Here is an 11,197-nt window from a genome sequence, read left to right as displayed (position 1 = left end):
CAACCTTTTCCTATTCCCAACTCCCTCCCCCAGCCTCTTAGGCCCCACCTATTGGCTCCATAAAGCAACTGATGCCCTTCTCTGGCTCCTGATGTGACTCCTGGAGCCCAGCTGGGAAGAACAGAGAACCTGTATCTTCAAGGACCCAGTGTCCCTCCTGGACCATAGCCTGCCCGCAGCACAGGGTCGTGGTCAGTCATCCACCCTGACAGGACCCAGGGGAGTCAGCATGCAGCTCTCCCAGGAGGAATGGCCTCTCTAGGTTTCTCCCTGCTTGTCAAGAGAAGGCCTTTGTTCCCTGCTCTAGGGTTTTTGGTGTCAGCCAAAGTGGTGGTTTCAGGGGAAGCTTCCCAATCCTTGCACCGCTGGCCATCTAGTCTACCCAAGGATGTGGTTGTCAGCTCCCCTCTGGGTGCCGCCAGCCTGTTTCCTTCTCTGTAACACAGGGATAACCTTAGGTACCTCACTGGGTTACAGCCGATGGTGATGAAGACATGAAGATGATGCCTGTGTTCTCCTTGGGTAGGTCCTGGCACTTAGAATCAGTATGTTTTCCTTCCTTCCCTCCTTTTCTTCCTTCTTTACTTCATTCATCTCTCCACTCTCTCCAGGAGCCTTTCTCCCAGATGTGAAACTGATCCTAAGACCCCCTGTAATTTCCTGCTGAAAATCTCCACCAAGAAACACAGCCACAGCCACAGTTCTTCCTGGTAAGAAGCCCCCAGGGCCAGGCAACAAGAAAAGTGAGCTCGTTCAGCAGGCTGGGATGTAAATAAGCCACAAGAGGCTGTGCCATTCTGGGTTGCACCTGTGAGCATCACTCAGCTGAAGCCCCATCAGCGTTTCCATGACAAACTCGTATTTCCGGATGCCTTTCTTCCAGCTTGAAGAGCCTGCCTCGTGGTGAGACTTGACACTGAAAATGCTTCCATATTTTTTTCCCTAAAAAAGCTTGCATGCTCTAAAAATCCACATGTTTATTAGATGTGTTTGCTCTTCATTCTGAGAGTTTTGTTGACATTATATGTGTATAGTATACACCAAGCAGGTAATATTCATGTGGGAAGTTCTGTGGTGGAGAGCCATGTGGCAAATACACAGCTACCACACATCATAACAAGATGTCTCCCTTCCCCAAAATATATCCTGCATCCATTTGTCTGCCTCAAAGCCTGAAATTCCACCACTAGAGATTTGCTACTTTTGCCTTTTTTTTTTGGAAACAGAGTCTTGCTCTGTCACCCAGGCTGGAGTGCAGTGGCACAGTCTCTGCTTACTGCAACCTCGATCTCCCAGGCTCAAGCGATCCTCCCACCTCAGCCTCCTGGGTAGCTGGGCCACAGCTGTGTGCCACCCTGGCTAATTTTTTTTTTTTTTTAATTTTCTGTAGAGACGAGGTCTCCTTATGTTGCCGTGGCTGGTCTTGAACTGCTGGGCTCAAGCTATCCTCCCACCTTGGCCTCCCAAAATGCTGAAATTACAGGTGTGAGCCACCATACCCAGCTGCCCATCTTTTAAGAGTCCACTGTATCAATGCACCAACCCCTGCAAGGGCCAAATTCTAAAAACCTAAATAGTCTTCAGTTTCACTTGGGGTGCTTCCAGAAATGCAAATACCCAGGCCCTGTCCTAGACATCCTGAATCAGAATTTCTAGAACTGGTGTGGAGCCCAAGCATTTTAAAGAAGCAGCCAGGTGATACTGATGGTCAGCCAGGTTTAGACTAATATAGGGCTTAGTGCACCAGGTAAGGAAACAGAATACGTGAATTTCATTTACAGCATCACCATTTACGGAGAGATGGTGAAGAAGGCACTTCACCTCCTGAACCTTGGGGAAAAGTGTGAGACCCAGCTCCCATTGTCTGTATGAAGACCAAATGAGGCAATGTTATGAAAATACTTGTTGGAAACCATCAGACAATGCAAACGTTGTTATTCCATATACATACATGACATGCAGCGTATATGTTCATGTGTATCCAAGTACCTGGATTTCCTACAGAAAGGACATGTCTGACTTTTGTCATTCTTCTTCATCTATGCTCCTGGCTGTCTTCAGTTTCAGATGGACTTTCTCACTTCAGGACACCCCTGAAGTCCTCTCCTCATAGCTTGGCTCTGTCTGATAATTTAAAAAAGATGTTTTCCATCTAATAGGTTTATCCACCCTCTAAGATCTTTCATATGTTCATCCCTTCTGGAAAGTAAGAAGAAAAAGGACTAGTCATCCTGTCTGATGACAAGGAGAAATGGAGGCAGATGGGTTTAGAGGGTCATATACCATTTAAACATAGGGCAGTAATTCTTCCATTTTGAAAACCTGATGAAAATGCACACATACAAAATTCTTCATACGGTTTCAGGGTTTCATGGACTTCCTGACACTCTTCCATGGAACCCTAGGAGTTCAAGAACCTCAGGCAAAGAACACCTGCCCACATGGATCTGGCAGCCCAAGCCCTCTAAGCCCCCAGAGCATCATGTTCAAGTACGTGAGGCATCCTTTCAGCCATGCCTTTGCCAGATGACCTAATTCATCACTTCTTCTCCCCAAGCTGCAAGATGAACTTGCCTGACCTTTCTGCCACCCACCAAAGAAAGAGCAACACATTACCTGCATCAGGACAGAATCTTCTCAGACCAGACTGTGCCTTCCTGTTCCTGAGCCTACAGCGTGGAGAATCTGAGCTGCCATAATGTATCAGTATAATGGATGGTTTTTACTGCAGTAGCAGAAAGCACAACTCAAACTGGCTTAAACAATCAACCTATTGGTCCTTTACAATTAAAAAGAAGTTTGAGGTAGGGTGGGCTTTATGCAAGATCTGATCCATCTGCTCTATGCTGTTTCTTTTTGTCTTTCCACTCTGTCTTCCATGATGTCAACTTCATCCTAAAACTCTCAATCCTCTAGGTTGCAATGTGGTTGCCAGCAGCAACCAAAGCTGTCTGCAACTTTGTTCACTCTCAGGAGAGACAGCAAGCTGCTTTTTAAATAGTCATCATGGAAGAAAGTAGAAACTTCTTTCCAGAACCCCTCAGTCAATGTCTCCCCATATCTTATTAGCCCAGATTGAGCAATATCTCATCCGGATCAGAGCCCACATCTGACAGAGTATGCTGCATAGCTGGGAAATTCAGATCATGTTATAGTCATGCACCCATGCTCAGAACCCCCAAGTCCTAGTCCTAGGGCTTAGTCTCCTGCCCCTGCACACTTTAAACTGCTTTCAAGAAAGGAACTAAGAACTAAAGGAATGATTTTGTAAAGGCTCAGAATCTGGTCTTGTCCCACAGTCCCTTGGTGAAAACCTAAACCAAGCAGGCCTGAGCCTTCTCAGGAAGGAGAGGGGAGAATTTTCATTTCCTAGAAAGGGAAGGAAATAGAATTTGCAGCCAGCCAGCTGAGCAGAATGCAGGCCACACAGAGTCCAGAGACCTGGGTTGTGTCTCCTTGCATCTGTAGATGACTTATTGAGTGACTAACAACTTGTTTACCTGCTCTGGCTTCTGTGCCAAAGGTAAAATAATCATCCCTTCCATTTTGCAGCAATCATTGGGTAAGGTTACAACCCCTTGGAAGGAAGCTAAGTCCTCAGAAGCTTCCAGGCTTGTGTGCTATCATGCAGAGGACAGAGGATGAGGTGTGTGGAGTGCTTTCTGGCCAGTCCTTGGTTGCCAGAACCATCCAGAAGGTCTTTTATTGTGACTCCAATAACAGTTGAGGGCCCACATGGCCCAGACTCTGCTTGGAGGCTCATAGAGAAAGGAACATAGTTCAGCAACTGAAAGAAATTTTAAAAGAAATTCCAAGTATTTGTTGTATCTTTTGAAGAGATAGAAACACTTGGCAATGTTTTTCTAAAGCCACTTTTTCCTTAATTCTCTCACGGCCAGCTGCTTAAGGGCTTTTGACATGCCTGAAGCTCTTGTACTCTGTCCAGCACCTAAATATCCCCCTCCTTCTGAGCTGTTTATTATGTAGGCTGACTTTACCTCTTGTGTCAGGTCCTTCCCTCTTCTCCCAGTCTTTCTTCCCATCATTCTCCCAATTCTGTACCCCAGGCCAGGTGCAGTGGCTCACGCCTGTAATCCTAGCACTTTGGGAGGACCCAAGGCAGGAGGATCGCTTGAGGTCAGGAGTTCGAGACCAGCCTGGGCAACATGGTGAAACCCCATCTCTACTAAAAATACCAAAATTAGGCTGGGCTTGGTGGCTCACGTGGGTAATTCCAGCACTTTGGGAGGCCGAGGTGGGTGGATCACAAGGCCAGGAGATCAAGACCATCCTGGCCAACATGGCGAAACCCCATCTCTACTAAAAATACAAAAATTAGCTGGGTATGGTGGTGTGTGCCTGTAATCCTAGCTGCTCAGAAGGCTGAGGGAGGATAATCGCTTGAACCCGGGAGTTGGAGGTTGCAATGAGCCGAGATTCAGCCTGGAGATGGAACAAGACTCCATCTCAAAAAAAAAAAAAAAAAAAATTAGCCAGGCATGGTGGCACGTGCCTGTAATCCCAGCTACTTGGGAGGCTGAGGCAGGAGAATCACTTGAACCTGGGAGGTGGAGCCAAGATCACGCCACTACACTCCAGCCCGAGTGACAGAGCAAGACTCCATCTCAAAAAAAAAAAAAACAAAAAAAACTGTACCCAGAAGATCCAGATATGAGATTATCAAGCTAAAATGTTCCTTAGAATACTCACACTTCAATAAATCTTGTCCCTGTCACAAGATTTATTGATGCTCCCTAATCAGCATCATTAGGGAGCAGACTTCCAGTCTCATATACATGAGGGTTATTCTAGTACCCCATCTTGAAGCATAGAACATCGGCTTTAGTTGTTTTTGCTGGTGGAGACAGGGGTCCATGAACCATCTACCTTGAGAACATTGCCTTCTAATAGGTTTGGACCCTGGAGTTGTAATTCTGAACAAGTCTGTGGGATATTCACTGTTGGCTCCTTCAGCTGCACTCTCCAGACTTCTCCACTCTGCTCCGAGATCCAAGAGGTTGCCTTATGTGGTCTATACCAATAGGCTCCCTTGCCATCTGGTTCCTAGTTGGGTTTGGCCAATGGGAAGCATTTATAAGAGATGGAAAGGACGAAGAGAAAGTCAAGATGTTCATTCTGTCATCTCCCATCCTGCTGGGCTGATGGGTGGCCAAGGCTCCGGTCACAGGCAGCTCTCCAACAGCCGTGGCTGTCCCTGGAATCTGGTCAGTGCTCCCCACCTACACCTTCAGCCTAGAGGCGGTAGTGACTCCCTGTTGTTGCTGGCCCTGGGTGCCTCCCTGCCCAATGTTGCTTCCCTTGGCCCTATAAATCGCCCCTTTGTCCAACCCGCCTCACTGCCTTGAGTGACAGGACCTTGACTGATCCAGTGCCCCAGGACTTCCACAGCTTTGTCACCTCATTGACTCTCACTTTATCATGGTAAACTAGAGAGGGCATGGGAGAAGGACTGTACTCTTATTTATGGACGTTCTGACCTTTGAAACTTTTTAAAATGATTCAGCCAAATGTCAAGGTCTAACTTTGAATCTTTAGGCTGGACTATGTGCCAATTTTTGACCAAGTTAAGGGATCAATCAGTGGCTGAAGAACAGGGTCTCTCTGTGAAAAGCTAAGTGGAAAATGAATCTGCAGCCTGTCACTACTGTGGTCTAACCACTGGACTAACACCACCAGGCAGCCACCACTAAAACTCAGGGTGGGGCTTTGCCAAGCGACCCAGGCATTCTATTTCATCTTGGCCATAACAACACCAAAAAAGGTAGAGAAAACACTAAGTACACCCTACAGAAAGGCTGAGTCTGTGATCAGCTTGATTTAAGCAATTCTAGAAAAGCCTATCACCCTCAAAAACCCACACCCCATCCCCCCATTTCCATCCCAGGCCTGAGTAGGATTAAACCATCTATGCCCATATCTGAAATTTCACAAGTAGAAAGGCGTAACTTTGCCTTTAGGCCAAATATAAATATTGTTCCCTGAAAGGAGTAATTTAGTTACATTTGATTAATATTTCCATTATGTGTGAGGCAGTGTGCTAAGCAGTAGGTAATGTTTTAATCCTATCTATTACCCTTGAGTATGAATAAACTGGATATCAGAAGAAAGGAAAACCACTGAGAGGTGAGGAGAGATGTGCCAAAAAGGGAGGAAAATGAACACAAATTTTGCCTTTATTCATCCTGGGCTCAAGGGAGATGCTCTAGATTAGGGACATAAATAGGAGGTCTATAGCATGTTGATGGTGTTTAAAGCCTTGGGACCACATAAGGCCACCCAGAAGAGGGAGCATAAGGAAAGGAAAGAGAAGAGAACAGAGGCTATTCAAGAGCTAAGGTCTAGGCCATTCCAATTTTACAGGTTGTGAAAAGTGAAAAAGAAAATCTAAAAAAGACAAATGGAGAAGGAACAGCTAGTGAAGTCAGAGGAAGATTGGAAGACCCTGGTGTCCTGGAAGCAACTGAAGAAAGTGTTTCAAGAAGAAAGGAGTGATCACATGACTTAAAATGCCACCGATGGGTCAAATAAGAACAGAGAATTGACCATGGAATCTGTCAACACAGAAGTCATCAGTGGCCTTGATAAATGTAGTTTCACTGCCATGGTAAGGATGAAAGGCTGATTGGAGCCTGTGACGGAGACTAGGAGGTGAGGAAATAGAAACAGTAGTTTTGCTCTGAATGGTTAGCAAATGGTGAAGCAACTGGAGGGAATGTGGGGTCAAGGATATTTTTTAAAGCTGAGAGTTATTATATCCTATCAGTATGCTGATGGGAATGATCCAGTTGAGATGGAAAATTTGATGCTGCAGATGAGAGAGTGGATAATTGCTGGAGTGATGCTTTTTAACAAGCAAGAGAAGAAGGGATCCAGTGTGCGAGAGGAGGGGCTGGCCTCAGACAGACACATGGACGATTCATTCATCATGAGAGGAGGAAAGGTGGGGCACGTGGGCACAACTTCTGGAGGCTGGTATTTTTGGTTGTGGGAGGATGTGATTTTTTTTTCTTTTCTGATTTTTTTTTTCAGTGGGGGAAAAATGATGTCATCAGCTGAAAGTGAGAAGCAAGGAGAACTGCGTGCAGGCCTGAAAAGAAAGGAGGCGTGATGCAGTCATCTGCCAGAGGGAGTAGGAGAGGCGACTTGCCTGGGGAAAACAGTGTAGGATTGCTGGGCAGCAATATGGCAGCAATGTGGTCCTCTGAGGTCAGTGGTGATGAATTTAAAGGGAAACCTTTCAGTACAGCTCTGTGTTTTTCTCCAGCCACCTTTAACACCTGGAGTGCAGGCATTAAATAGCTAAAAGTCACATTTGACAAGTGTTGATTTTGCTAGGCCTATAGGTTGGGAGAGAGAAGGTCAGAATGGTTGTCATTGTTATCTATTGCTGTGAAACACATGACTCCAACACAATTACTCCCAAACAACAAATATTTATTACCTCATAGTTTCTGTGGGTCACAGTTTGGAATTTGGAAGCAGCTCAGGCTGGGCAGTTCTGGCTTGGGGTCTTTCACGAGGCTGCAGTCAAATGTTACCTCAGGTTACAGTCATCTAAAAGCTTGTATAGGGCTGGAGGATCTGCTTCCAGGGTGGTGCACTCACATGGCTGGCAAGTCAGTAGTGGTGGTTGGTGGACAACTCAGTTCCTCTACAGGCTGTCAGAGTGTACTTACAGCCTGACAACCAGCTTCTCCCAGAGCTACCAGTCCAAGAGGGAGACCTAATCAGAAGCTATCCTTCTTTGACCTATGCTCAGAAGTGACATTGCGTTCCTTTTGCTGCATTATATTTGTTAAAAGCAAGTCACTAAGTCCAGTCCACATTCAAGGGGAGGGGAATTAGACTCCACCTTTTGGAGGGAGTAGTGTTGTTATGGACTGAATGTTTATGTCTGCCCCCGCCACAAATTCCCGTGTTGGAGCCCTAACCCATAGTATGGCTCTATTTGGAGATGGGGCCTCTAAGAAACAAATTAATGTTAAATAAGATCATAATGTTAAATAAGATCATAAAGCTCTGATCCAATAGAATTCATCTCCTTTTAAGAAGAGACACCAAATAGCTTGCTGTCTCTCTCTCTGTGCTCACACACCAAGGAACGGCCACGTGAGGACACAGCAAGAAAGTAGCCATCTACAATTCAGGAAGAGTCTTCACCAGAAACCAAATTGGACAGAATCTTGGTCTTAGACTACTAGTCTCCAGAGCTGTGAGAAAAAAAAAATCCATGCTCAAGCCACCCACTCTATAGCATTTCGTTATGGCAGCCAAGCTGATGAGTACAAGCATCAAAGAACTTGCAGACATATTTTAATGTCACTACAAGGCCCCAGGGTTTATGTAAGTATATTTATCATGCTGGACCATGGATTATAAGCTGAGAAGTGAGGGAGGTGACAGCATGGAGGAATGCGTGAGTGAAAGGACTGGGGAACCAGTGTGTGGAAGGAAGTTCTCTGAGGGGAAGAGTGTAGGAGTGGGTGTACAAGGGAAGCAAGTTGAACAGATATGAGGTAGTGGTCAGAGAAAGCTGCTTGAAATGGAGATCTTGGACATGGCACAGTTACTGCTGGTGATAAGATCTAGCATTAGATGATGGGAGTGGGCAGCTGAGGCAGGCAGGGAGGGACAGGTCACTGGTGGTGAGAAGATTAATTAACTGGAGGCAGAATGTTGGAGGGGTCATCTAATAGACACGGACCAGGAATGATGCTGAGTATGGTGATGAACAGACTGATAGTGAGCCAGGTGCTCATGTCTTTCACAAATGGGGGAGTGATGGGGAGAGAGTAGATGATTGCCACAGGGAGCAGTAGCAGGACAGAGCCTGACAGCCAGTGAGACACAAAGGGACAGTCCAGGTTTTAATTGAGGGGGTGGGAGTTACTACTGGGTTGGCTATTAAGGAGCCATATGCACAACCAAGTTAGGAGGAGAAGCAGAGGATCTGAGTGCATGCGTATGCACACACACACACAAATGCATGTGCATGGCAGATGGTAATAGCATGTATCTCATAGGGCTGTTAAAAGGACCAACTGAGCTAATACTTAGTGCTAAGACAGTGCCTGTGTGGGGTGTTTTCTGACACCAACCAACTCTCCAACATCAACTGGGTGTCCAGCAATTCAATTCAATTCAGTTCTGACACTACCGGGAGTTAGCATCAGTTCCCACAAGTTAAAGGGATCAATCCCCCCACTTCCAGTGCCAGCTGCAAATAACAAGCTACCCACACTTCTGCCCAGATGACTACAAATTTAGGCATCCCCACACCACCCCCGAAGAGGTTCAGTAATTTATTAGGACAACTTGCATTTATTGGTTTATTATAAAGGATACAAATAAACAGCCAGATAAAGAGCTACACAGGGCAAGATCTGAATGGATGCCGAGTATAGAAGCCTCTGTCTTCTGCATTCACCAACCTTGGAACTCTTTGAATTTCTTTGTTCAAAAGATTTTCTGACCCAATCTCCAGCCCTCCTCCGCCTCCAGGAATTGGGGGTGGTGGGGAGAGTGAGGCTGAAAGTTCCTACCCTCTTCCCTCTAATCGTGGTCTTTCTGGTGGTCAGCCCCCATCTTGAAGCTCTCTAGGGACCCCATCCTGGGCCATCTCATGAGCATAAACTCAGGTGTGGTTTAAAGAGGCTCCTTATCAATAACAAAAAATCACTCTGGAAATTCCAAGGGTTCTAGGAGCTCTGTATCAGGAACTGGGCATGAAAACCAAATTTTGTTTTTTTGTTTTTTTGAGACTGAGTCTCACCCGGTCGCCCAGGCTGGAGTGTGGTGGTGTGATCTCGGCTCACTGCAATCTCCACCTCCAGGGTTCAAGTGATTCTCCTGCCTCAGCCTCCCAAGTAGCTAAGACTACAGGTGTGCACCACCACGCCTGGCTAATTTTTGTATTTTTAGTAGAGATGGGGTTTCATCACATTGGCCAGGCTGGTCTTGAACTCCTGACCTCAGGTGATCCACCCGTCTCGGCCTCCCAAAGTGCTGGGATTACAGGCGTGAGCCACTGAATCCGGCCTGTTATATTTTTTATTATACTGCCTGCCACCTAGGAAGTTCTATGTGATAAAAGCTAGTAATATCCCCTTGTTACAGATGAAGCCACACTTATGTCACTTGCCTATGGGCACATAGTAAGGGCCAGAGTCAGAGACTAAAACTCAGTATTGGGTCAAATGAGAAAGAAGCCAGTCTATTGAGGAGCAGCCAGTCCAGAGGTATTTTAGGTGGGCCTCCTTTGAGGCTTACTTCCCCACATCCAACAATATCTGCTACCATTTAAAAAAATTATTCTTCTTGAGATAGCCTGAGTTGGTTTTGTTATTTACAACCAAAAATGCTCTGACCAGAGTAACCGCACCAAGGGGCAGAACAGCCTACGCACCGTGTGAGTGATGCAAGCTGAGAATGACTAGAAAAACTAGCTTAAGGGCCAATGGCAAAATTCCTCTGTGGGAGAGAATTGTTGGCATCTAAAATATAGGCTTAGGGAATAAACCTGAAGTGGAAGGGGGACAAAAGGAGAGTTGAATTGCTTGGCTTAAAAACTGGGTGGGGGCCGACCACCAGAAAGACCAGCAAGAAATTTGTTTTGTTCATTCAGCCTCCTAAGAGGAAATTTTGGGTTGACACCAATTTGACTTTATTTATTTTATTTTGAGACAGGGTCTCTTTCTGTTGCCCAGGCTGGAGTATGGTGATGCAATGTCGGCTCACTGCAACCTCGACCTTCTGGGCTCGAGGCCTCCTCTCACCTCAGCCTCCTGAGTAGCTGGGACTACAGGCATGTACCACCACGCTCAGCTAATTTTTAAATTTTTTGTAGAGATGAGGTCTCACTATATTGCCCAGGCTGGTCTCAAACTCCTGGGCTCAACGATCCTCCCACCTTGGCCTCTCAATGTGCTGAAATTACAAGCATGAGCCGCTGCGCTCGTCCTCCAATTTGACTTTATTATGAAGCTGTAATAAGGAAATAAGCATCCTTGCACCCCAAACTTTTTTTTTGAGACAGGGTCTCACTCTGTCTTTACCCAGGATGCGGTGGCTTGATCATGTCTCACTGCAGCCTTGATCTCCTGGGCTCAAGTGATCCTCCCACCTCAGCCTTCCAAGTAGCTGAGACTACAGGAGCACACTACCATGCCCAGCTAAT

At 46.1% G+C, this 11,197-nt stretch overlaps 1 long non-coding RNA gene across 3 annotated transcripts, besides 1 other annotated feature; it reads left to right on the top strand.

The window, feature by feature from the left end:
• The first annotated feature begins 225 nt into the window (after window positions 1-225).
• On the top strand, window positions 226-9,804 carry LOC105371840 (uncharacterized). Of its 3 annotated transcripts, XR_001752950.2 has the most exons (5): window positions 226-522; window positions 612-903; window positions 6,382-6,625; window positions 7,051-7,227; window positions 8,121-9,804. It is a non-coding gene; the product is annotated as an uncharacterized LOC105371840 (long non-coding RNA). The 3 variants fall into 3 exon arrangements; XR_001752951.2 differs by having other exon boundaries at window positions 612-710; window positions 7,051-9,804; XR_001752949.2 differs by having other exon boundaries at window positions 7,051-9,804.
• Window positions 6,666-7,865: an enhancer, noted in NCBI's record as "CDK7 strongly-dependent group 2 enhancer chr17:56129666-56130865 (GRCh37/hg19 assembly coordinates)". NCBI's record gives its function as "activates an origin of replication core promoter dependent on BRD2, BRD4, P300/CBP, MED14 and CDK7 cofactors, with strong dependence on CDK7, by STARR-seq in HCT116 cells {active_cell/tissue: HCT116}" and the evidence as "EXISTENCE:reporter gene assay evidence [ECO:0000049][PMID:35650434]".
• Window positions 9,805-11,197: the final 1,393 nt, after the last annotated feature.

This window comes from Homo sapiens, chromosome 17 (assembly GCF_000001405.40).
Source record: "Homo sapiens chromosome 17, GRCh38.p14 Primary Assembly".
In the NCBI taxonomy this organism is placed as follows: Eukaryota; Metazoa; Chordata; class Mammalia; order Primates; family Hominidae; genus Homo; species Homo sapiens.
Note: the sequence above shows the minus strand (reverse complement) of the source record. Positions and strands in the feature narration are given on the sequence as shown.